Source organism: Homo sapiens, chromosome 17, assembly GCF_000001405.40.
Source record: "Homo sapiens chromosome 17, GRCh38.p14 Primary Assembly".
Lineage (NCBI taxonomy): Eukaryota > Metazoa > Chordata > Mammalia > Primates > Hominidae > Homo > Homo sapiens.
The window spans coordinates 67,657,983-67,685,224 of record NC_000017.11 but is presented as its reverse complement, the minus strand read 5'-3'; the positions used below and the strand labels follow the sequence as shown (position 1 = coordinate 67,685,224).

General features: G+C 44.3%; 1 protein-coding gene and 1 long non-coding RNA gene across 6 annotated transcripts in view; one reads left to right on the top strand and one right to left on the bottom strand.

The window, feature by feature from the left end:
• The window catches only part of LOC101928045 (uncharacterized), a 42,523-nt gene extending 32,454 nt beyond the window's left edge, over positions 1-10,069 (top strand). For all 3 annotated transcript variants that reach the window (NR_188293.1, NR_188294.1, NR_188292.1), the window contains one exon: positions 9,602-10,069. This is a non-coding gene — a long non-coding RNA (uncharacterized LOC101928045). The remainder of the gene's footprint in view (positions 1-9,601) is intronic.
• Positions 1-27,242, bottom strand: part of PITPNC1 (phosphatidylinositol transfer protein cytoplasmic 1) — a 319,976-nt gene that overhangs the window by 12,032 nt on the left and 280,702 nt on the right. For all 3 annotated transcript variants that reach the window (NM_181671.3, NM_012417.4, XM_047435746.1), the window contains exons 7-8: positions 15,562-15,717; positions 9,683-9,746 (exon numbers count right to left, since the gene is read on the bottom strand). In NM_181671.3, coding sequence (NP_858057.1) covers positions 9,683-9,746; positions 15,562-15,717 — 220 coding nt within the window. The remainder of the gene's footprint in view (positions 1-9,682; positions 9,747-15,561; positions 15,718-27,242) is intronic.

Here is a 27,242-nt window from a genome sequence, read left to right as displayed (position 1 = left end):
TAACCAAAAAGCAATAAAGAGATGCTGCTTTATGATGAAAACAAATGCATCTTAGTTAATAATAACAACACATTCTTTCAGTACAATCACTTTCAATGGCTGCTTATCAACATTTCTTAAACACAAATATATCTGAAATAATACTAGACGATCACTTTTAGCTAGGAGTTGAAAATTTAAAGAAGTTTCTCTACACATATGTCATTAGGGGGTGCCCCCCACCATCCCAACAGGCATGACAGTAATTTGGAAAACAAAAGCCAAGGAGTTATAGGTTTTTTTGTTCTATTGAATCCCCACAGAAATCATACTTCATCTTGAATTAGCTCAACGTCAAGATAGGGGCTTAAACTTTGTGACTATGGGCTTTCAAAGATGTATCCATTTTATGGATGTGAAAAAGGGTTTAACAACAAAGATATTCATTGCTGCCTTGTTCAGCAATGTTCATAATAATGAAAAATTGAAAACAACCCAGGGGACTGATAGCACTATGCAATTGTTAAAAATTAGGTAGAAGAATAGTTAATCCTAGAGAGATATCCTTAATCTATTGTTAAATAAAAAATAGGTAAAAAGAACTGTATATAGCATATGAAATCAATTTAGTCAGAAAACCATTATCTACATTAAAAAAACACTGAAAGGATATATTTCAAAATGTTAACAGTGATTATTTTGAAGAGTTAGAATTACAGGTAATTTTAATTTCCTTCTTTTTGCTTATCTACATTTTTGAAATTTTCTACATCAAATATGCGTTGCTTGTGGAAAAGAAAAAAAAAAACATTATTTAAGAATCTGTTATGTTGGGCTGGGCAGGGTGGCTTATGCCTGTAATCCCAGCACTTTGGGAGGCCGAGATGGGCGGATCACCTGAGGCCAGGAGTTGGAGACCAGCCCGGCCAACATGGTGAAACCCTGTCTCTACTAAAAATAGAAAAATTAGCCAGGTATGGTGGCACACACCCGTAACCCCCAGCTACTCAGGAGGCTGAGGTACAAGAATCGCTTGAACCTGGGAGACGGAGGCTGCAGTGAGTCAAGATCATGTCACTGCACTCCAGCCTGGGCGACAGAGCAAGACTCTGTCTCAAAAAAAAAAAAAAAATTTGTTATTTTGGATCATTATGAGATGGATACCGTCAATTTGGAATTGGTAAGGAGAAGATAGACTTTTCCAGAATTTCTGTTCACTCTAGAAACATAATCCCCTGTTTCTTTTCTTTTCTTTTTTTTTTTTTTTTGAGACAGAGTCTAACTCTGTCACCCAGGCTGAAGTGCACTGGTGCAATTTCAGCTCACCGCAACCTCTGCCTCCCGGGTTCAAGTGATTCTCCCGCCTCAGCCTCCCGAGTAGCTGGGATTACTGGTGTGTGCCACCACGCCCGGCTGATTTTTGTATTTTTAGTAGAGATGGGGTGTCACCATGTTGGTCAGGCTGGTCTCGAACTCCTGACCTCAAGTGATCCGCCCACCTCGCCCTCCCAAAGTGCTGGGATTACAGGTGTGAGCCACCACGCCCAGCCATCCCCTATTATTTTTTTTAAACAAAGAGTTAAGAAATGAAATTTCAGAAAATTCTATAAAAGAAAATCTCCCAATTTTGCCACATAGGAATGAACATTCCTAGTAGAGTAGTTCTCTAAAAGATGGTGATAATATGGTCCCTGCTGTGAAGGAAAATATGTTTGTCTAAATCCTGAAATATCCTCACAGACTATAAATGTGTATGAACATGATGTAAATATTTTCAGTATTTCTCAGAAATTTATGGAAATCCTAATCAAGTGAAAATGCTCCTGTTCAGGTTAGCTGGTAAAATGCACTGTCTAGCTTTTGCAACATATATGACCTCAAAATCTTTGTAGAAATCAATATTTTAGTAAATTCAGTTACATGTGCCCAATGACAGATTATACAGTAATGATGATTCATCTTTATTATTGATTGATTTTCAATGATCAGAGTGACTTCAAACAATTTAGGTTCAGACTTCTTTGCTTCCAGCAAACAAATGCTTATGTGTATCAACTCTTTTTTTTTTTTTTTTTTTTTTTTTGAGACTCAGTTTCGCTCTTGTCACCCGGGCTGGAGTGCAATGGTGTGATATCTTGGCTTACCACAAACTCGGCCTTCCGGGTTCAAGCGATTCTCCTGCCTTAGCCTCCCAAGTAGCTGGGATTACAGGCACCCGCCACCACACCCAGCTAATTTTTGTATTTTTAGTAGTGACGGGGTTTCACCATGTTGGCCAGGCTGGTCGCGAACTCCTGACCTTGTGATTCACCCGCCTCGGCCTCCCAAAGTGCTGGGATTACAGGCGTGAGCCACCACACCCGGCCCAAACTCTTAATTAAAGGAAGCCCATGTCAATTACTTTGCAAATACATTGGTAAACAGTCAGCCCTTCACTTATAGATTGTGAAAGGTCATAATTTACTCTTCCTAAATAAGGTTTCCTACATAAAGACTCCTTAAGCCAGCAATACTGGGGATAATTGCCTAATTTAAGAGAATATTGCAACTGGTACGGTATTTCTTCTGATAAAGAAAGTGCATCCTAATATCTTTGAGACTCTGCTATCAGAGGTTAAACAGCCCTGGGAAGTATTTTGGGAACACACATGCCCTGCTCACTGTACTTCAGTGGGACAATATTTCCTTTCCTTGCCCTCTGGAGAGGCCATTTCTTTTCTTCTCTTTCTTGCTCTCCTTCAGGTGAGGAGAGATCAGATCCCAGACTCTTATCTCAGGGCGTGAGGTCATACTGCATGGGGCCTGAGTAGAACGTTCTCCTCTGCCAGTGACTGGGCTGAGGCCAAAATCTCCTCCTCAACCATCAGCTCCACTTTGGCAAAGAGGCTCTGGTCTCAGGGGATTTGTTAATTGATAATCCTGTTAGTAAACATTTACACTGAGACTAATTTTTAGCTTATATGAACACCACCACACAGAATAGCTTTGTACTTGTTGTACATGTATTCATGGGCAATTTGTATTTCTTTTTCTTTTTTTCTTTTTTGAGACAGAGTCTCACTCTGTCCCCAGGCTGGAGTGCAGTGGCGCCATCTCGGCTCACTGTAACCTCTGCCTCCCAGGTTCAAGCGATTCTCCTGCCTCAGCCTCCTGAGTAGCTGGGATTACAGGCACGTGTCACCATACTCAGCTAACTATTTTTGTATTTTTAGTAGAGACGGGGTTTCACCATGTTGTCCAGGCTGGTCTTGAACTCCTGACCTAAGGTGATCTGCCTGCCTCGGTCTCCCAAAGTGTTGGGATTACAGGCATGAACCACTGCACCTGGCCTCATGTGTATTCCAGAATAAAATTCTGGAAGTGGATTGGCTGGGTCATAAGTTGTTTGTGCTTATCATTTCTATGGTATATTTTATTAAATTGGATTATCATTTTATATTGAAAACTGGATATAATCACTCTTAAATTTTTGCTATCAGATGGGCAAATGTCCTATTTTCTTGTTTTTCTCATTACGGTTCTTGTGATTACTAGTAAGTTTATTGGCTATTTGTATTTCTTCTTCTATGATTTACTTATTCATATCCTTTACCATTTTCTTGAGTGACTGATTTTTTTTTTTTTTTTTTTTTTTTTTGAGATAGGGTTTTGCTCTGTCACCTAGGCTGGAGTGCAGTGGTGTGACCATAGTTCCCTGCAGCCTTGACCTCCCAGACTCAAGTGGTCCTTCCACCTCAGCCTCCCAAGCAGCTGGGACTACAGGCACACCATCATGTCCAGCTAATTTTTAATTTTTGTAGAGATGGGGTCTCCCTGTGTTGCCAGGGCTGGTCTCAAACTCCTCAGCTCGAGTGATTCTCCTGCCTTGGCCTCCCAAAGTGCTGGGATTACAGGTATGAACAACCACACCTGGCCAAATTTTCAATTTATAGGACCTCTTTATATATTATAGATGGTAATCCTGTTGACTACATATGCAGCAAATATTTTCCCCTAGTCTTTTAGCTTTGTTTATGGTGGCAATTTTCTTTAAATCATTGTATTTTTAAAGAAAGGAGGTTAATTTCACAGGAAGTGGAGGCAAGATCATATGTTTGAAAGGCCTTTAGAAGTCAGTTGAACACACATGGAAACTACAAATGCCCTTGAACAAAGCATCTGCAAGCGTGAATTTTCCTTCATTGTACCACACAGTTGCAGCAGCAAACATTTTAAAAAGGGGAGTCTTCTGTTCTAATTCAATGATCTGTGAAATGGCACATTATACTTTATTTCCCTCTACAAACATTTCCGTTCACTTTCAGCCTCCTTCACCAAAACAGAAGTCATTTTTACATCATTCTAAGTCAAAATAAAAGTCTTGAACAAGTAGTTGGGTCAGGGAGGCCCCAGAAATCATAAATAAGAATGGATACTTCTTTGGCTCCAGCAAAATGGTAGCCATCCTTTGAGAAATGCCATTTTTTAAACCCTTTACAATGATTACAAATTCAATACATGCTTCTTACAAAAAGCTTAGGGTGACTCCATTTTTTTGTAGTGAAAGTAGCCAGTCCTCGAAGTGTGGTGTATACCTTTTCCACATAATTCAGACCACTAAGATCTAGAACTGTAATCTATAGTTGTGATTTTTTTTTTTTTTTTTGAGACAGAGTTTCACTCTTGTTGCCCAGGCTGGAGTGCAATGGTGCGATCTCAGCTCACTGCAACCTCTGCCTCCCGGGTTCAAGCGATTCTCCTACCTCAGCCTCCTGAGTAGCTGGGATTACAGGTGCCCGCAACCACGCCTAGCTAACTTTTGTATTTTCAGTAGAGACGGAGTTTCACCATGTTGGCCAGGCTGGTCTCGAACTCCTGACCTCAGGTGATCTGCCCGCCTTGGCCTCCCAAAGTGCTGGGGTTACAGGTGTGAGCCACCGTGCCAGCCTTATAGTTGTGATTTTTTTCTGTAGTTTTTAATTGGGAGCAGGGAGTAGGCAGGGGAAGGGTTCACAGGTTCCTCTGAAAATCTGATGGAAAGTTATTCATTCTCTCCCCAGATAAACGAATACAAGCACACACACATAAAATGTTGCGTTGGAAAATCTGGCTTGGTGAACTCAACCAGCTCATGCAACCCCTAGCAGGCTTCTTTCTCCATTTTAATCTTGCCTCCCTCATTGTTAGACCTGCTCTAGGGACTCCAGGCTGATTTCTAAGTCACTTTCATGAGGTAGTGTCGTCTACAGCAGCCAGAACTCTCCCTCCCTCATACTTTTTGGTTAGAGTCAGGTTTTCAAAGACATTCGTGAGGTTCACCTCAATCATAGGCTCCTTCTGGCAATGTTCTGTGTTCCTTTCTCAAAACACTGTCAGATTTGTAAAGCAAAACCAAGCCTTTGTGAAACTGGGCTGCCTATTTTTATCCACCTTCCCTCTCACCCCATCTCCTGAAATACGTTGTTGTTATTTCTCTGATTAGCGTTCTAGTCGTGCAGAGAGACCCAAGGCTCATGGATAAAGACCAATCACGGCTTTGAAAGACACACTCAACTCCTCCAATATGGAAATGGTTACACTTTACAATGAACACGAACAGAATAAAATCTCTTTAGGGAAACAGTTTCGTGACAGCCAAATGCTGAAACTCAGAAGAGATACAAAATTCATCCTTGGCTGACAAATGATCACTACCCTCAACAATGTCCTTTTTTCTTGACTCTTAATTAAGCACTGGAGGTGGTGTGTCTAATTAGAGAGAAAGACATCTAGAGCTACCCATGCATCAGTGTGTACAGTTTGTGCACTGTATGAACACACAGCAGAGGAGGCAAATGGGGCTCAAATTCAGCCCTAAGCCCAGAGCACCTGCTGAGTCTGCCCAGAAGGGGCACCTTTTTCTAATTCATCTGTCTAAAGGGAAGCTTTTTTTTCTAATTCTCACAAGAAATCAGAGTTGTAAGAATTTGGGTTCCTGCAATCATTTTAAAATTGATTTTATTTTTTGTTTTTTAGAGACAAAGGCTCGCTCTATCGCCCAGGCTGGAGTGTGGTTGGCCCTGCAGACAGCTATGATTCTCTAGTTAACCTATTTGGATTGAATCAATTAAACGGTCCTTACAACCCAATGTCCCAGTCTGGTTTATAGCCCATGCTATAAGCCAGTAGTTCTTAAACTTTAGCCAGCAACAGAACCATCTGGAGGGCTTGTTAAAACAATTGCTGGGCTAGACCCTCAGAGTTTCTGAGTCAGTAGGTTTGGGGTGGGGCCTGAGAATATGCATTTCTAACAAGTACCCTAGGGATGCTGACGTTGCAGGTCCAGGGACCTTACTTTGAGAACCAGTGCTAGACGCTATAGCTATAGGCAAGGATTTATTTTGGATCTTTTCCATGTTTCCATGTTTCCATGTTTCCATGAGAGTCTCACTGAGCCTGTCCAGAACAAATAAAAATAGGCCACTTCAGGTACCCCAAAATGGAGTGGAAGGGTAATGCTGGTGGGCGCTTAGCCTGGGTACCAGTGGCACATATGGCCCACAGTTCCCAGAATTACTTTGAATATGGGACTGAGAAGGCACTCTGTGGACAGGAGTCATTTCCATTCATTTGATTCACTGAGTGTCTGCATCTGTGTGATGAAGGAGCCACTGTTTTCCTGGTCAGCAGCTCAGCTGTGGGTACTGATGGTTGCAGAAGCTTACATGAAATTAACGGTGTAGTTCTCAGACCACTGCTGAGTGAAAAGGCTGCTTGTTTTGGCTGGGGCTATGTCAGTGTATGCAGGGGGAGACCCACTCTGGGGAGTGCAAGGTGTCCTAATGATCCACATTCACTAAAGCCCACAGTGTTGTTTTGTGCTCAGATAAGGAAAAGGTTTTTTGCACAATAGACTCCTTAGTTGTTAAATGCCTCCACTTCACTCATCCTAAGTAAATAAGTGCTCTCTTTTGAAGGTCTCCAGATTCGGGGAGATCTCCTGTTTCCTTTGATACATTATTCTAGCCTTGGGCTCCTGTTGTAATCCCAGAATTCTTTTTTTTTTTTTAAAGAGACGAGGTCTTGTTCGGTCACCCAGGCTAGAGTGCAGTGCTGCGATCATAGCTCACTGCAGCCTCCAGCTCCTGGGCTCAAGTGATCCTTTCACCTCGGTCTCCTGAATAGCTAAGACTACGGACATGCACCACTGTGCCTGGCTAATTTTATTTATTTATTTTGTAGAGATGATGTCTTGCTATGTCGCCCATGCTGGTCTCGAATTCCTGGGCTCAAGTGATCCTCCATCCTAGGCTTCCCAAAGTGCTGGGATTACAGGTGTGAACTACCGTGCCTGGCAGTTTTTTTTTTTCTTTCAATTTTTATTAGAAGTCCCTAAGTCTTTTATTAGAAGTCCCTAAGGCCGGGCGCAGTGGCTCATGCCTGTAATCCCAGCACTTTGGGAGGCTGAGGTGGGCGGATCACGAGGTCAGGAGTTTGAGACCAACCTGGCCAGCATAGTAAAACCCCATCTCTACTAAAAAGACAAAAAAAATTAGCAGGGCGTGGTGGTGGGAGCCTGTAATCCCAGCTACTTGGGAGGCTGAGGCAAGGAGAATCGCTTGAACCTGGGAGGCGGAGGTTGCAGTGAGCCGAGATTGTGCCATTGCACTCCAGTCCGTACGACAGTGCGAGACTCTGTCTCAAAAAAAAAAAAAGAAGTCCCTAAGTCTCTTCCTTGCCCTAGGCTCAGCTGAGATGGAAAAGTCAGGCCCCATCGCCTTCCTGGCCTTTCATTTACTAGATACCCACCCACACTGGGTTTTCTTCCTATATCCTGCCTCTAATCAAACCCTTTTTATTATTCTGTCCTCTTGATCAGAGCCCGGCTATTCTTTTAGCTGAAAAATCTTCTTTGGCACTCTGGCAACAGAGAGAAACCTATCCAAGTGCCCTGTGTGTTGGTTTTCAAAGTGGCAGATTTTTGGCCCTTCAGGTACCTCTCTTTTTGCCAAACTTCTAATCAGTTTGCACCTATGATTCTTTAAATATCCTTTTGATATTTCCTTGGTGTTGGTAGCAAGGAAACCATGAGCTCTGAGGAGCACAAGCTGGGAGAGACCAGAAGTTCTTATCCTTTCTTGGGGTCTGTGCTCCCTCTGAGAATCGGAGAAAAGCGCCCCAGAAAAAAACAACCAGAAAGATTTATTTAAGGATCAGAGGAAGTAATCACAGGAGACTCTCCTGCCTGCCTCACAAAACACAACTAGAAATAGACAGGTCTCTGGGAGACTACATGACAATGTGGCAAGCCAGTGCTTTTGCGGTATGAGAGCGGCATTCTGTGGGTGTGTGATAAGAGAGCATAAATGATCTGCATTTGGACAAACCCAGGAAGGTGCATTTGCTCTTCAGAAGGTGCAGATCTGGGAAAACTGCAAAAGGAGGTAAGAAAAAAAGAAAAAAAAAAGAAAAGCCCATAGCTTATAGAACCATGCCTTTTAAATGTGGCTCAGAAATAGCTAACAATATTAATAATAATGACTGTCTTTGCCCCTTCCGTCTAACGTGTCCTTTTACTTTGGTACCTTCTGCTCAGAAAAGGGAGGGAGTTGGTGAAACAATGACAGAAAAGGACCAAAATGCAATCTAGGTTATACTCAGAACAAATTTAATGTGACTTTGGAAAAGGCCAAGGAGAAGGGCATTTCATTAGACAATCGACCTGAAAATCAGATCTAACCTAAGTCACCGGTGGGGCGTGTTCCTTTCTATTTATAGCCAAGGACGGTAGCCATCTGATGACTGATTCTGGGAGTGCAGAAAATTCATGTGGACAAAACAAGACTGCTGAGGACCTGGGAAGGATGGTCCATCCATCATGGGATGAAGCTAACCTTGTTTTCATTTGCTGCAAATGTGTAGAAATTGTTTAACTCTTCCCAGATCATGAAAAAAAAGCCAGAACAATAGTTTCAATTAGGATGAACGGGGCACCTATGCCTCTGTCTGCCCTTAAATTCTTGCAGAACCTGTATATATTTGTTGAGGGGTAGTTTCTTTCTTTCTTTTTTTTTTTTTTCCGAGACGGAGTCTCGCTCTGTCCCCCAGGCTGGAGTGCAGTGGTGCGATCTCGGCTCACTGCAAACTCCGCCTCCCAGGTTCATGCCATTCTCCTGCCTCAGCCTCCTGAGTAGCTGGGACTACAGGTGCCTGCCACCATGCCCGGCTAATTTTTTGTATTATTTAGTAGAGACGGGGTTTCACCGTGTTAGCCAGGATGGTCTCGATCTCCTGACCTCGTGATCTGCCCGCCTCGGCCTCCCAAAGTGCTGGGATTACAGGCGTGAGCCACTGCGCCCGGCAAGGGGTGGTTTCAAATGTTGTCTGAATCAAAGGACTGCTTTTACTTGACAGGATGCTTCAGACAGCTTTGATCTTGAAGTTTGGGATAAATTAGGATGGGTTTGAAACCCATCTAACAGAGAATGATGGAGCCATGCGTATCAACTATGTAAGCATCAAACATCCTGAGGTTCCTACTTAGTCAATAATTCTGTGGTTATTTTAGACCAAGCTTCTATAATTACATCTTCATTATGCTTGGCAGACAGTGCTATTTCCAACACAGGAAGCAGCGGCCTTGCCTTTGTTGTTGTCCTTCTAGGTAGCAGTTGAAGCCAAATGGACAGAAAGCCCGAGACAACATGAAGTTGTTCTACAAGTTATTTTGGAGAAATTGACTTACCATACCACTCATCAACCCATGCAAAAGCCTGTCTATGTCCAATCAGCAGAATGTCTCGGACCACCTAAAAAGTAAAAGAAGGAGACTGAAATAATAGCATCTTTGATGAAAACTATCTGGAAGACAAGTTGTTAACAATTCTGGGGATCTTGGTGATTACAGAGTTCTTAATCCCTCTGTCCATAGGTGATGACAATTACAGGCTGCCTATAGGTCCTATAGTGCTCACACACCTCCAGCCCTTCCCCATGGTGTACACACACTTGCAGTATATTCATCTCTTTGTCTTATTTGAGAGTAGGGCTGGGTGTGTGTACAAACTAATGACAAATACTTGACAGTCACACAGCAGTGATACAAATAAATATCTAGGTTAATTACCTTGAAGTTTTTCTCTCCATTTATTTTTAACTAAAACAGCATCTACTTTTCATCTGTGGGAGGGTGTGTCTCACTGGTGCCAGGAGGTCATAAATTTTGGAAATCTAGAACACTTTTCTAGGCAGCAAGTCACTTTTTTTTTTTTTTTTTTGAGACAGAGTCTTACTCTGTCGCCAAGCTGGAGTGCAGTGGCGCGATCTTGGCTCACAGCAACCTCTGCCTCCAGGGTTCAAGCAATTCTCCTGCCTCAGCCTCACAAGTAGCTGGGACTACAGGCGTGGGCCACCATGCCCGGCTAATTTTTGTATTTTTAATAGAGATGGGGTTTCACCATGTTTGCCAGGATGGTCTCGATCTCTTGACCTCGTCATCCACCCACCTCGACCTCCCAAACTGCCGGGATCACAGATGTGAGCCACCGCACCTGGCCGACAGCAAGTCACTTCTAAGCAAACAGCACTTAACATTCCCTCTTTTCTGATGACATATCCTAAAAAGTGAACAGCACTTAACATTCCCTCTTTTCTGATGACATATCCTAAAAAGTGAACAGCACTTAACATTCCCTCTTTTCTGATGACATATCCTAAAAAGTGAACAGCACTTAACATTCCCTCTTTTCTGATGACATATCCTAAATACTGATTTTTTTTTTTTTTTGAGACAGTCTTGCTCTGTCCCCCAGGCTGAAGTGCAGTGGTGCAATCTCAACTCACTATAACCTCTGCCTCTTGTGTTTAAGCGATTCTTGTGCCTTAGCCTCCTCAGTAGCTGGGACTACAGGTGCGCACCACCATGCCTGGCTAATTTTTGTATTTTTAGTACAGACAGGGTTTCGCCATGTTGTCCAGGCTGGTCTCAAACTCCCGGCCTCGAGCAGTTCACCTGTCTTGGCCTCCCAAAGTGCTGGGATTACAGGTGTGAGCCACTTCACCCAGCCTGATTCAATTTTTTAATTGTACATTTTAAAATAACTTAAGAGTGTAATTGGATTCTTTGTAACACAAAGGATAAATGCTGGAGGGGATGGATACCCCATTCCTCACATTGTGCCTATTTCACATTGCAGGCCTTATGAAAACATCTCATGTACCCCCTAAATGTTTACACCTACTATGTACCCACAAAAAATTATTTAAAAAATAAATATTGATTCAATTTTTCTTTTTATCTTTTTTTTTTTTTTTTTTTTTTTGAGACGGAGTCTCGCTCTGTCCCCTAGGCTGGAGTGCAGTGGCGCCATCTCGGCTCACTGCGATCTCGGCTCACTGTAACCTCCGCTTCCCTGGTTCAAGTGATTCTCCTGCCTCAGCCTCCTGAGTAGCTGGGATTACAGGTGCCTGTCACCATGCCCGGCTAATTTTTGTATTTTTTTAGTAGAGACGGGGTTTCACCATGTTGGTCAGGCTGGTCTCGAACCCCTGATCTTGTGATCTGCCTGCCTCGGCCTCCCAAAGTGCTGGGATTACAGGCATGAGCCACCACGCCTGGCCTCAATTTTTAAACAAGCATAAATGAATGTGTGAGATACAAGATAAGTAAATATCCTTTTAGGTTTGACTTTCATGTAATAGAAGAGGGGGAAAAAGGCCGTTTACCATTGAAAGGATGAAAAAAGAGACCTGAACTAGAATAGAACGTAATGGGAATGACAAGCTTGACTGGACACAAAAAGGATGAAATTGTTTCTTATGGTGACACATAATGGCAATAGAAGGCTAAGGAAAATAGTATATACCATTTGTGTGTGTGTGTGTGTCTGCGTGTGTGAGATACTGTTCATGTGTTTTTATTTCATGGTATTCTTTTCCATCCTGGGTAAATATGTCTTTTTACATTTCTTGGATACTCACAGTATCCCTGTAACATTCCTTTCTTCCTGCCAAACAAATCCAGTGATTGTGAAAAACCTCTCGTGGAAGGTTCAAGCATGTTTCAATAAATGAAGGATTTTAATTCAGTGAATTTGCAGAAACAAGGAAAGCATTTATAATGAAGTGTTTATGACTCCAGGCCTCTGGATATCTAGTGAGGCTTTTATGACTTGAAAGTAGGAAACACATAATGAATACAAGAAACAACACACAGCTATACACACTTGAGTGCTGAGTGTCTCAAATTCATGGAAATCAAAAGAACAGCATCGAGGCATCAGTAAATGTACCCTATTACACGAAGCACAACACAGCTGTCGGCTGGAAACCAGAATTCAATAATGTGCTCATGGCTCGCTTTCGAACATTTTTTTCCCCTTAACTGTGAATAGATTCTTAAAAAAACAAAGGTGTTCAGAGAAAGGCATCCCTGGCACCTTCAACCCATGCAAATGCTAGCCTCAGATACTCATTAGCGACTCACGTGCGAGAGCAGGTGCGTTTCTGGAGTGTCAATAACACTTCCTTATATTTGGAAAGGGCAAGGCATAAATCTTACAGGTATTTTCAGGAAACAGATTCTCAAAACTAGCCTGAGTCATCTGTGAGAAAAGAAACACAGTGGACCCTGGGGCAATATAAATATGGCCTTTTAAATTATTATTATTATTATTATTATTATTATTTTGGAGACAGAGTCTTGCTCTGTCCCCCAGGCTGTAGTGCAGTGGCGCGACCTAGGCTCACTGCAACCTCTACTTCCTGGGTTCAAGTGATTCTCCTGCCTCGGCCTCTGGAGTAGCTGGGACTACAGTCACCTGTCACCACGCCCAGCTAATTTTTGTATTTTTAGTAGAGATGAGAGTTCACCATGTTGGCCAGGCTGGTCTCGAACTACTCCTGACCTCAAGTGATCTGCCTGCCTCGGCCTCTCAAAGTGCTGGGATTACAGGTGTGAACCACGCCCAGCCTTATTTTTATTTTGTATTATTCTCTTTTTAACTGACAACTCTGCCTTATTAAATATGCTTTGTGAGTGGAAAACACACTATGAAGCCGGGCATGGTGGCTCACGACTGTAAACCCAGTACTTTGGGAGGCCGAGGCAGGCAAATCACTTAAGGTTAGGAGTTCGAGACTGGCCTGGCTAACATGGTGAAACCCCGTCTCTACTAATAATACAAAAGTTAGCCTGGTGTGGTGGCATGCACCTGTGCCTCAGCTACTCAGGAGGCTCAGGCACAAGAATTGCTTGAACCTGGGAGGTGGAGGTTGCAGTGAGCCGAGATCATGTCACTGCACTCCAGCCTGGGCAACAGATTGAGACTCCATCTCAAAAAAACAAAACAAAACAAAATAATACTATGATAGTGGCCCTAGTAAGAGGAAGTCTTTTTACCTTAAAAAGCCACACACAAAAAGGGATGCTGTGGGAAACCAAGGAAGACACTGCCTTAGATAGACACAAAGCTGAGGCTGGAAAACATTTACTTTGGGAGCTGCAATTGCTTTCCTGTGCAATAATCAGGACACAGGAGGAAAACAGGAGATCCTGGAGCTTGATTTCTACGTATCACATTTCATTCTGGCTCCTGGCTGGCTGGCTGGGTTCTGGAGCACGGGAAAGGAGTGGCATGCTTCTCTGTTCAAGAAAACACCCAGGGCTCTCATGTTTGTGCCAGAGTCTGCCATTACCGTGAGCCTGAGTTATGAGGGTTCAAGAGACTGGCAGTCTAGTTCTTGGACCTAAATTCCAGAATTAAACTTTTTATTGTTAACTGGCCCCCAATCTCAATAGACAAATCCATCTAAGTAACAAAAAGCTCAGTGCATTAAGGTTAAATTCCAGTGACTCCAAAATAATTTTGGCAAGCTACTCTTATCAGTTTTTAAGTGGAAAAATAAACAGATAACCAGCCTATCTGGAATGTAGAGACAATTTGGGTAGTATTTATTCTTATGAAAATGAGAGCAGCTACAAAGGGCAATGCTCAACATTGCATTTCCCATTTTTTTCTCCCATGAGGGACAGAGTCATGTTAGAAACCCTGAGAAAATATGACTCTTCACCAAGTGGGATTCTGCTACAAAATGAACATGCCGGCCGGGCACGGTGGGTCATGTCTGTAATCCCAGCACTTTGGGAGGCCGAGGCAGATAGATCAGGAGGTCAAGAGATCGAGACCATCCCTGCCAACATGGTGAAACTCCATCTCTACTAAAAATACAAAAATTAGCTGGGCATGGTGGCGTGCGCACCTCCCAGTAGTCCCAGCTACTCGGGAGGCTGAGGCAGGATAATCACTTGAACCCGGGAGGCAGAGGTTGCAGTGAGCTGAGATTGTGCCACTGTACTCCAGCCTGGCGACAGAGTGAGACTCCGTCTCAAAACAACAGCAGCAGCAACAACAACAAAAAACCAAAATGAACATGTTTAGCCAAAGTAGGTTTACAATTGAAATCTGCATCCCGAGGCTGTTAACAATTATTTGGTAACAGAATTATTCTTATTATTTCCTTTTTTTTTTTTTTTTTTTGAGATGGAGTCTTGCTCTGTCACCCAGGCTGGAGTGCAGCAGCACGATCTTGGCTCACTGCAACCTCTGCCTCCTGGGTTCAAGCAATTCTCCCTGCCTCAGCCTCCTGAGTAGCTGGGATTATAGGCACGTGCCACCACACCCGGCTAATTTTTTTGTATTTTTAGCAGAGACAGGGTTTCACCAGGTTGGCCAGGCTGGTCTCGAACTCCTGACCTCAAGTGATCCACCTGCCTCAGCCTCCCAAAGGGCTGGTATTACAGGCATGAGCCACCACACCTGGCTACTTTAGTAACAGAATTATTAAAGAAGCAGAAATGCTGGGGTATACTGTCTAATGGGACTATTGGGATTTCTTGTTCTACCTCTGGGCATCTTCTGCTTAGGTGCTTACATTTGTAGATCTTTTGGGTGGCAATTAACCTTAGGGGCTGTGCTCACAGATAAGCCCTTTGGCTGTTTCCCAAGTTTCTCTGTCTGGGAGTAGATGAGTCCAATACCAAACTGAGAAGTGTGTTTCCCAAATACGCTTGCCTAATAGACATGGAGGTCACAGAATGAGAGATGGGGCATAAAACATCTATTAGTGGAAGAAAATTGAACCTATGCATAAAATGCATTTTCATCCAAAAAGTATTTTTTATTTTTTTATTTTTTATTTTTATTTCTTATTTTTTGAGACAGAGTTTCTCTCTTATTGCCCAGGCTGGAGTGCAATAATACGATCTTGGTTCACTGCAATCTCTGCCTCCCGGGTTCAAGTAATTCTCCTGCCTCAGCCTCCTGAGTAGCTGGGTTACAGGCACCCACCACCATGCCCAGCTAATGTTTTTGTATTTTTAGTAGAGACAGGGTTTCACCATGTTGGCCAGGCCGGTCTTGAACTCTTGGCCTCAAGTGATCTACCCGCCTCGGCCTCCCAAAGTGCTAGGATTACAGGTGTTGGCCACCCCAACCGGCCCAAAAAGTGTTTTTGAGATGCAGTGACCTGATGTATTTGTGCACCTGTTGTGTATCATGGACTCCAATTTGGCAATATAGACAGTTACCTTGTCCACAGCCCAGGAACTGCTGTTGGACCACTTACCTTGTGTACAAATTGTTCCACTCTGGTCTGAAGCCCCCAGACCTCAAACTTCACAGTCACCAGCTTGTAGGAGCACATGATAGGCTGATGACTATCTCTCCAGCCTTCCCTCAACTGTCCCCGTCCTGTCTTCTCTGACTTGAAGTGCTTAGGATCCTAGAAAAAAAAAAATCAAAGAAATTGATATATTAAAAGTTTGACCATCATTATTAAATGTCAGGAATAAGTATTAAATAACATAGAAATAGGGCTGGGTGTGGTGGCTCACGCCTGTAATCCCAGCACTTTGGGAGGCTGAGGCGGGCGGATCACCTGAGGTCGGGAGTTCAAGACCAGCCTGACCAACATGGAGAAACCCCATCTCTACTAAAAATACAAAAATTAGCTGGGCATGGTGGTAATCCCACCTACTGCCTATCATCCCAGCTACTCGGGAGGCTAAGGCAGGAGAATTGCTTGAACCCGAGAGGCAGAGGTTGTGGTGAGCCAAGATTGCGCCATTGCACTCTAGCCTAGGTAACAAGAGCGAAACTCCATCTCAAAAACAAACAAACAAACATAGAGACAGAAAGTAGATTAGTAGTTGACATGGATTGAGGAAAGGAAGGGATGTAGAGTGATTATGAATGGATATAACATTTCCTCTTGGAGTGATGAAAACATTCTGGTATTAGACAGTGGTGACAGTTGCACAACCTTGTGCATATGCGAAAAACCACTGAATTGCACATTTATTTAAAAGGGTGAATTATATTGTGTCTCAATTTTTTCTTTTCTCTTTTTTTCTTTCTTTCTTTTTTTTGAGATGGAGTCTCGCTCTGTCGCCCAGGCTGGAGTGCAGTGGTGCGATCTCGGCTCACTGCAAGCTCCACCTCCCGGGTTCACGCCATTCTCCTGTCTTAGCCTCCCGAGTAGCTGGGACTACAGGTGCCCGCCACCACGCCTGGCTAATTTTTTTGTTTTTAGTAGAGACGGGGTTTCACTGTGTTAGCCAGGATGGTCTCGATCTCCTGACCTCGTGATCTGCCCGCCTCGGCCTCCCAAAGTGCTGGGATTACAGGTGTGAGCCACCGTGCCTGGCCTCAATTTTTTCTTTTCTTCTTTTGTAGAGATGGGTCTCACTATGTTGCCCAGGCTGGTCTCCAACTTCTCACCTCAAGTGATCCTCCCTTCTTGGCCTCCCAAAGTACTGGGATTACAGGTGTGAGCCACCATACCTGGCCTCACGACAGCTTTAAATACAGGAGGCAAAAACTGGAAACAGTCCAAATGTTCATAAGCAAGAAACTAGACAGATAAATTGTGGTCTAGGTGCACAATGGAATACTACACAGCAATGAAAAAGAACAAATGGCTGATACATGCAAAAACGTGTACAACTCTCACTGATGCTATGTTAAGCAAAAGTAGCCAAATGCAATAGCATATACATTGTATGATTCAAATTGAAGTTCAAGAACAAGCAAAACTTTATGTATGGTGATAAAAGTTAGATGAGCAGTAATCTCTTTGGGGGTGGGGGCTTGGTGCAAAGGGACATGAAGGAAACTTCTGGGATGATTATATGTTGACCTGGATGTAACGTGTACACATTCACTGAGTTTTACACTTAAGATTTGTATTATACTTCAATTACAAGAATGAAAAAAACAGGTAAAAGGGTTTTTTTGTTGTTGTTGTTTTTGAGATGGAGTCTTGCTCTGTCACCCAGGCTGGAGTGCAGTGGTTTGATCTTGGCTCACCCCAACCTCTGCCTCCTGAGTTCAAGCAATTCTCCTGCCTCAACCTCCTAAGTAGCTGGGATCACAGGCACCCGCCACCATGCCCAGCTAATTTTTGTATTTTTAATAGAGACCGGGTTTTGCCATGTTGGCCAGGCTGGTCTCGAACTCCTGAACGCGAGTGATCCACCCACCTTGGCCTCCCAAAGTGCTAGGCCTCCCAAAGTACAAGCATGAACCACTGTGCCCAGCAAGGGTTTTTTTTTTTTTTTAAGTTTAATCATCCAATATTTGTCTAATGATTGCCATTAGCCAATCATTTGCTGATTATTTCATTAGAAGATTATTTTTTTCAGAGATACCTTAGAACATGTAAACTATATAAAACCCAGTAATTATGCTTAAATATGTATGTATGAGCTAATTTTCAGTACTTTTTTTTTTTTTTTTTTGAGAAAGGATCATGGCTCACTGCGGCCTTGACCTCCCAGGCTCAAGTAATCCTCCTGCCTCAGCCTCCCAAGTAGCTGGGACTACAGGTGCACACTACCATGCCTGGCTAATTTTTGTATTTTTTGTAGAGATGGGGTATTGCCATGTTGCCCAGGCTAGTCTCAAGCTCCTAGGCTTAAGTGATCTGCCCACCTCGGCCTCCCAGAGTGCTGGTATTAAAGGCGTGGGTCACCGGGCCCAGCCAGTTTTCATTATCATAAAGAAGACGTGCAGCTGCTCCAGGATCTGCTGTCCAGCTGTGGGTTTGGGGCTAGTCCTGGTCCTGTTCACGGGGATGTTGGACCCCAGGAAGGGAAAGAACCTCACAGCACACAGCGGAGTCTACAGGCTGAAGCAGAAAATTGGCATCTCCCCTCCCAGGAGAAACCTGGCAGTCAAGGGGTCCTGTGTTGAGAAGTAGATAGGATGAGACACAAAATCAAATTGGCTGGGACAGCCCCAGCCCTTTTAATGCAGACCAGACTGTGTCTCAGGGGTGGGCTTGGGAGGTAAAAGCAGGCTGCTTACAAATAAAGACAGGTTTATTCTCTCAGATCTGGCCGTGGCTCCGCCAAGGCCATCTGGCACTGGCCTCTAAAGAGGGCTTTCAGGCTGCCCTTGACTTCCCTTACAGATCTGCCTCCTCTGTTAGGACCTTTTTGCTATGGTGACCACTTCCACAACTGTAGCTCCCCTAAAAAACACAGTGCACTCCCAGGGCCAACTTCCATGCCAGCTGACGCCAGGCCTTCATCAAAGTAGCGGGTGAATGCTTGCCCTCCTGCCTCTTCTCAATCTCTCCATCCACCATTCCCCACTCTGCTGCCACGGTGGCCTCCCAGATGTAAACTCCCCTCCTCAAAATCTGTCCATGGCACCATGAGTGTAGCATAAAAGTAATATGCCCTGGCAGGAAGGAGGTACAAGGCCTTTGATGTTATTACTTATTTTTCTGGCATCTTTTCCGGACCAGCCTCCCAAAGCCACACCTCTCTCGTGAGCCTTAAGAAGCTTCTGCTGGCCTCATTCTCCAAAGCCCCAGGAGTCTGGAACCTCCTAGGTAGGCACTGGTCCCCCTTCCTGAAGTTCCTTCTCCCCCACCAAGTCCTGCACTCTGCCTGATTCTCCTTTCCTTGCTTCAAGACTTAACTTAGGGGCCGGGCACAGTGGCTCACGCCTTTAATCCCAATACTTTGTGAGGCCAAGGCAGGAGGATTGCTTGAGGCCAGAAGTTCAAGGCCAGCCTGGCCAACATAGCAAGATCCCAGCTGTATTAAAAACAAAACAAAACAAAACAAAAAAACACTTGGCCAGGCACGGTGGCTCAGGCCTGTAATCCCAGCACTTTGGGAGGACAAGGTGGGTGGATCATTTGAGGTTAGGAGTTTGAGACCAGCCTGGGCAACATGGTAAAAGCCCGTCTCTACTAAAAATATAAAAAAATGAGCTGGGCATGGTGATGCATGCCTGTAATCCCAGCTACTAGGGAGGCTGAGGCAAGAGAAGCGCTTGAATCCAGGAAACGGAGGTTGCAGTGAGCCGAGATTGTGCCACTGCACTCCAGCCTGGGTGACAGAGACTCTGTCTCAAAAAAAAAAAAAAAAAGTACTTCAGTGTCATCCCCTCCAAGGACCCTTTCCTGGGTGGCTCAGAATGAGGGCTCCTCCTTTCTGCTTCTGAAGCTTCCCCTGTCATGGGTCTGGCAGGTGGGTACATCACAGATGTTGAATACATGCTTGTTGAGTGAATGCTTCAACCCTATTCGACGTATCACACACATGTGGCTGGGACATCAGAATCTTAGCCAAAATTTGGTAAATACCTAAGTGAAAGACTAGTTAAATTCTATGTTCACAATAACAAGCATTGGCAAAGATAGGGAGAAACTGGAACCCTCATACATTGTGACAGAAATATAAATAGTGTGGCCACTTTGAAAACATTTCAGTAGCTCATCAAAAGATTAAACATAGGGTTACCATTTAACCTAGCAATTTCACTCCTAGATATCTGCCCGAGAGACTTGAAAACACATATCCACACAAAAACATGTACATGGGCTGGGTGCAGTGGCTCACGCCTGTAACCCTAGCACTTTGGGAGGCTGAGGCAGGTGGATCACTTGAGTCCAGGAGTTTAAGACCAGCCTGGGCAACATGGCAAAACCCCTTCTCTACAAAAAATACAAAAATTAGCCAGGTGTGGTGGCACATGCTTATAGTCGCAGCTACTTGAGAGGCTAAGGTGGGAGGATCACTCGAGCCCAGGAAATTGAGGCTGCATTAAGCTGTAAACATGCCACTGCACTCTAGCCTCAGTGACAGAGTGAGACCCTGTCTCAACAAACAAACAAACAAACAAACAAAACCCCAAAAAACAAAACATGTACATGGATGTTCTAATTCATAATAGCCACAAAAAAGGGAAACAATACACATTTCCATGAACTGATTGATGGATACACAATATATGGTATATCCACACAATGAAATATTATTCTGGCATACAAAGAAACAAAGTCTTCTTCTTCTTTTTTTTTTTTTTTTGAGATGGAGTCTCGCTCTGTCGCCCAGGCTGGAGTACAGTGGCATGATCTCGGCTCACTGCAATCTCCGCCTTCTGGGTTCAAGCAATTCTTTTGCCTCAGACTCCCGAGTAGCTGGGACTACAGGCATGCGCCACCACGCCCAGCTAATTTTTTGTATTTTTAGTAGAGATGGGGTTTCACCATGTTGGCCAGGCTGGTCTCGAACTCCTGACCTCAAGTGATCTGCCCGCCTCGACCTCCCGAAGTGCTGGCATTACAGGCGTAAGCCACCATGCCTGACCATGAAGTCTTCTTAAAAGAAGATATACAGGTCGCCGAGAAACATGAAAAAATGCTTAGCATTACTAATCATCAGAGAAATGCAAATCAAAACCACAATTAGATACCATCTCACACCAGCCAGAATGGCTATCATTAAAAAGTCAAAAAACAATAGATGCTGGTGAGGCCGTGGAGAAAACGGAATGCTGATACACTGTAGGTGGGAGGGTAAATTAGTCCACACTGTGGAAAGCAGTCTGGAGACTTCTCAAAGAACTTAAAACAGAGCTACCCAGCAACTGCATTACTGATGAATGGATACAGAATAGGTGGTATATCCATACAGTGAAATATTATTATGCCATAGGAAGAAATGAGGCCAGGTGCAGTGGCTCACGCCTGTAATCCCAGCACTTTGGGAAGCCGAGGTGGGTGGATCACCTGAGGTCAGGAGTTCGAGACCAGCCTGACCAATATGGTGAAACCCCGTCTCTACTAAAAATGCAAAAATTTAGCTGGGCGTGGTGGCATCTGCCTGTAGTCCCAGGTACTCGGGAAGGCTGGGAAAGGAGAACTGCTTGAATCCAGGAGGTGGAGGTTGCAGTGAGCCAAGATCACGCCACTGCACTCCAGCATGGGCGACAGAGCAAGACTCCATCTCAAAACAAAAAAACAAAAAACAAAACAAAACAAACACTGAGAAATGAAGACTTGATTCTAGAAGCTCGCTCGGTCACTGGACCAAATTGAGGGCTAGCTAAAACAGGTCTAGGGCGGAAGCAGGTTTCCATAAGAAGCGGCCATGTCATTTACCATCACTGTGGCAACACTGTGAAGTTACTGCCCCTTTCCATGGCAATGACCTGACAACGTGGAAGTTACCACCCGCATCCTAGAAATTTCTGCATAAACCACCCCTTAATTTGCATATAATTAAAAGTGACTATAAAATGAGTGGAGCACTGCCTCTGTGCTGTTATTCTGGGCACACTGCTTAGGGGGCAGTCAAGCTCTGCAAGGAGCAGCACCTCTGCTGCTACTGCTTCAACTTTTTTTTTTTTGTCCTTTTTTTTTGAGATGGAGTCTCGCTGTGTTGCCCAGGCTGGAGTGTAGTGGCGATCTCGGCTCACTGTAAGCTCCGCCTCCCAGGTTCCCGCCATTCTCCTGCCTTAGCCTTCCGAGTAGCTGGGATTACAGGCACCTGCCACCATGCCCGGCTAATTTTTTGTATCTTTAGGAGAGACGGGGGTTTCACTGTGTTAGCCAGGATGGTCTCGATCTCCTGACCTCGTGATCCACCCGCCTCGGCCTCCCAAAGTGCTGGGATTACAGGCAGGAGCCACCGCGCCCGGCCTACTGCTTCAACTTTTAACACCACCGGCTCACCCTTGAATTCTTTCCTGGGTGAAGCCAAGAACCTCCTGGGCTAAGCACCCATTTAGGGGCTTGCCTGTATCAGATACACAACATGTGTTATATCCATACAATGAAATATTACTGTGCCATAAGAAGAAATGAAGTCTTCTCAAAGACATACAGGTGGCCAACAAACATATGAAACAGAGCTACCATTCAACCCAGCAACCCCATTATTGGGTATATGCCCAAAGAAAAGAAATCATTCTACCAAAAAGACATGCACTCATATGTTCATCACTGTGCTATTCACAAAAGCAAAGACATGAAATCAATCTAGGTGCCCATGGAATACTACACAGCCATAAAAAAGAATGAAATCATGTCCATGGGGTACTATGCTCACCACAGGGTGACAGGATCCATACTCCAAACCTCAGCATTACACAATATTCCCATATAACTATTCTGCACATGTACCCCCTGTATCTAAAAGTTGAAATTTAAAAAAAAGAAGAAATGAAGTACTGATACATGCACCAACACAGATGAGCTTCAGAAAACATGCTACTAAGTAGAAGAAGCCAACCACCAAAGGCCACACTGTATAATTCCATGGATATGAAATGTCCAGAGGAGGCAAATCTATGGAGAAAGTAAGCAGATTAGTGGTTGCCTAAAGCTGGGGGAAGGGAGTGGTATGCAGAATGACGGCAAACAGAAACAAAATTTCCTTTTGGGGTGATTAAAATGTTCTAAAATTAGATTAAAATGATGGCTCACAACTAGATAAGTATATGAAAAAAACGTTGAATTATACACCACTTTCTTCTTTTTTTTGAGATGGAGTTTCACTCTGTTTAGAGTGCAGTGGCACAATCTCAGCTCACTGCAACCTCCGCCTCCTGGGTTCAAGCAATTCTTCTGCCTCAGCCTCCCAAGTAGCTGGGATTACAGGCACGCACCACCACACCTGGCTAATTTTTGTATTTTTAGTAGAGATGAGATTTCACCATGTTGGCCAGGCTGTTCTTGAACTCCCGACCTCAGGTGATACACCTGCCTCGGCTTCCCAGAGTTCTGTGATTACAGGCATACGCTACCGCACCCGGCCAAGTTGTACGCTTTCAATGGGTGAGCTTTATGGTATGTAAATGACATATTATAAACATTTAAAAAATACAATCTGAAAAATGCTATGTTGCGTCGGTGGGTTTTTCAGGGCATGTACTGGCTCTGGGTTTGCTGATGGTCCTACCTAAAGTCATATTACTATTATTATTATTATTATGAGATGGAGTCGCACTTTGTTGCCTAGGCTGGAGTGCAGTGGCGTGATCTTGGCTCACTGCAACCTCCACCTCCCGGGTTCAAGCGATTCTTCCGCCTCAGCCTCCCAAGTAACTGGATGACAGGTGCGTGCCACCACACTGGCTAATTTTTGTATTTTTAGTAGAGATGGGGTTTCACCATGTTGGCCAGGCTGGTCTCGAACTCCTGACCTCGTGATCCGCTTGCCTCGGCCTCCCAAAGTGCTGGGATTACAGGCGTGAGCCACTGCACCCAGCCTAAAGTCATATTATCAGAGTCATGATCCTGAGCACGTTTCTTGAGTGTGCTCCATGAGAACCAGGTACTGCACTGCCTTCCACCTTGACCACATTTCTTTGCCCTGGGGGTGTAGGAGGGGCATGTGTGGTCACAGAGCACTTCCCTCCACTCAGAACAGACGCAACCCTACACTGAAGATCAGGGTTCCCTGAGCTTCCTTCAGGGTCCTTCCTTCTTGGTCTCTGTTGCAGGAAGACAGTGGGCCTGGGGGTGAGGGGAGAAAGGGACTCAAGTGGGACAAATATTTGATTAATAGGATATAAAGTCTGTTTTGCTAATGGAGTAGAACAATATTGACAAAAGAGATTCTGGGAAGGGGGAAGGAAAAGAGAATGAATAATAAGTATCTGAAGGGAGTAAGTGAGTCTGAAGGGAGGGGCTCGTGACCTTGACTGTGGGTGACATTTCTGAATCTTCTCTATTAATTTTGCCAGGTTGTGTTTCCATTGCCTAAACCAACCCGGAAACCACCACCGAAATCATATGCATAGGCCTGGAAAGACTATGCTAATTTAAGAATGTGATTCGACTGGGCGTGGTGGCTCACACCTGTAATCCCAGCACTTTGGGAGGCCAGGAGTTTGAGACCAGCCTGGCCAACATAGTAAAACCCCATCTCTACTAAAAATACAAAAAAAAAAAAAAAAAATTAGCTGGGCGTGGTGGCGGGCGCCTGTAGTCCCAGCTACTTGGTAGGCTGAGGGAAGAGAATTGCTTGAACCTGGGAGGTGGATGTTGCAGCAAGCCAAGATCGCATCACTGCACTCCAGCCTGGGTGACCGAGCGAGACTCCATCTCAAAAAAAAAAAAAAGAGAATGTGATTCATGAGGCTGGGCATGGTGGCTCATGCCTGTAATCCTAGCACTTTGGGAGGCCAAGGTGAGTGGATTGCTTGAGGCCAGGAGTTCGAGACCAGCCTGGCCAACATGTTGAAACTCCATCTCTACTAAAACTACAAAAATTAGCCAGGTGTGGTGGCATGTGCCTGTAATCCCAGCTACTTGGGAGGCTGAGGCAGGAGAATCGCTTGAATCCAAGAGGCAGAGGCTGCCGTGAGCTGAGATCATGCCACTGCACTCCAGCCTGGGTGACAAAGTGAGTGAGACTCCATCTCAAAAATAAATAAATAAACAAATAAATAAATAAATAAATAAAATAAAATAAAATAAAATATATATGATACATGAAAAAGACTAATATAGGGCCTGGCCCGTAGCAAGTGCTCAATTGATGTTAGCCATTATTGCATTTCCCAAGGCAGTCAAAGGAGCATTTAAGTAATGTATCCAATCCTATAGTCCAGGGCAGAGACAACATGCTTTTCCATAGCACCCCGGAATTGCTGGGAAATTTGCTGCTTGAGGCCATGGGACTAGTTCCTGCCTGCTCTGTGTTCCTATACCATATCATGCCATTGAGAGTAAAAAGATAATAATAAAATAATAAAACAGGGCAGGAGGAAACTTTTGGAGGTGATGGATAGATTTATGGCATAGCAGCCAGTGCCTCATGCCTGTAATCCTAGCACTTTTGCGAGGTCTAGGCAGGTGGACTGCCTGAGCTCAGGAGTTTAAGACCAGCCTGGGCCACATGGCAAAACCCTGTCTCTACTATAAATACAAAAAATTAGTTGGGTGTGGTGGTGTGTGCCTGCAGTCCCAGCTACTTGGGAGGCTGAGGCACAAGAATCGCTTGAACCCTGGGGGGAGGAGGTTGCAGTGACCTGAGATTGCGCCACTGCACTGCATCCTGGGTGACAGAGCAAGACTCTGTCTCTAAAAAAAACAAAAAACAAAAAAAGATTTATGGCATAGATTGTGGTGATGGTTTCACAGGTGTATACTTATGTCCAAAATCATCAAGCTGTATGTGTTAATTAAAAAGCTGTGTACAGCTTTTTGTATGTTTAAAAAATAAAATAAGAAATAATGTTGAATTTGGAAAAAAATAAAAAGAAAAGAGAAGACCAATAAATTGAGAGATTATCTACCATACATCTCCAAAGATGGCCACCATCAATTCCTTCCCCCACTGTGCTGACATGCTGTTCCCCTCACCATTTCCCCACCCCTTGAATCTAGACTGGTCTGTTATTTGTTTTGACCAACAGAATGTACCAGAAGAGACATTGTGTCAGTTTAGCCTTTCAAGAGAAGCTGGAAGCCAGAAACCGGAACCCTCCACAATGTAAGAAGACTAGGCTGATTACCTTAGAGCACCATGATATGAGGAGGCCCAAGCTAGCCATGTGGTGAGACCATGTGGCAACATGCTCAACCAGGTCTCAGATGCTCCAGCCATCTCAGCTGAGACCACGTTGAGTGAAAGGGCCATCTGAGATATTTCAATCCAAGCTCACATCATGAAGAGCAGATCTGGCCAGCTAAACCCAGTCAAGAGTGCAGAATTGTGAGAAACAATGCACTCTCATTGTTTTAAGCCACTAAATTTTGGGGCTGTTGCTCAGCAACAGGTAACAAAACACATCCATCAAGCATATTATAAAACAGGTGCATTAACTGGATTACCAAAGATGAAGAGAATGAATGCTGCTTTGTTCTTTCCCAGAGCACACCAAAAGTTCACACAATCAGCCACAAGCCTGAAAGCTGAAAACAAGGAAATTTATACCTCTCAAGAAGCTCTCATGAGTTAAAATACAGGAGGTGGAGTTAAACAGGGAAATTTGGTTTCTTTCCCCATCTGTCTTTTGACTTCCTCCCAACAGAGGTAAATGATGGGTGTTTACCTCTGATAGTTGCACGTAAACAACTATCTTGAGGCTTAGAAGACATGGCTTCCCCCCTGCAGTTGACCAGAATATGGACAGGCAAACCCTCGAGAACCTAAGTGGAGGTCTTCCTGCTTGGGTAAGCAACTGAGTAAGTAAAGGATAGGACAAAGACGGCAAGTAGAGGAAAGCAGGAGTCCAAGCTCCTGGTAACCCAGAGATGTAGGAGACAACCCAGCAAACAAAGCAAGGTGGGCAGGCACCAGAGGCAGGGAAATAAAATAAAAACCAGTGATGCAGGATTTTTTCTGCTCCTTAGCTCAGCTAGGTCCGAGTTCTTGTCTCACAACCAGGAAGAATTAGGCATGCAGACACCAGAGAGTGAGTGGAGTATAATTTATTATGCGAAAGGCAAGCTCTCAGCAAAGAGAGGATACTGGGGGTGGGGTGGTTACCTATCCCAAAGTGGGAAAGTCCCCTAATATGGCTGAGCCTGGGGCTTTTATGGGCTAACAATAGGGAGCGCATGCTGATTGGTTTGTGAGTATGCAAAAAAGGTTAAAGTGAAGATACCACTCAAAAGTGGGCACGACAGTGTAGATAACCAATTAGGAAAGAGTAGGCATATTTAAAATAGGTGAAGGGTGGGGATCAATCAGAGGAAAGGCCAGTTCTCAATCTGGTCTGAGGATTTAACCTGTAGCTTGGCTTTCAGGCTTTAAACTGTCTTTGGCTTGGAAGTGGGGTTTCACTGGGGTCCCACCCCTATCTGCCTAGGCATTTGGCTGCCCTCCTGTCACTGTCACCAGGGCCATAGTCTGAGCTGCCTTCCTGCCCTTCAGGTCCTGCACAGTGGGTCTGACTGAGCAAGAGGAACCTGGACCAGTTGGCTGTGCCCGACCTTGCCCTCCCTCCCTGATTCATGGACTGCCCTTGGCTTGTTTCTTCAGTCAATGACAG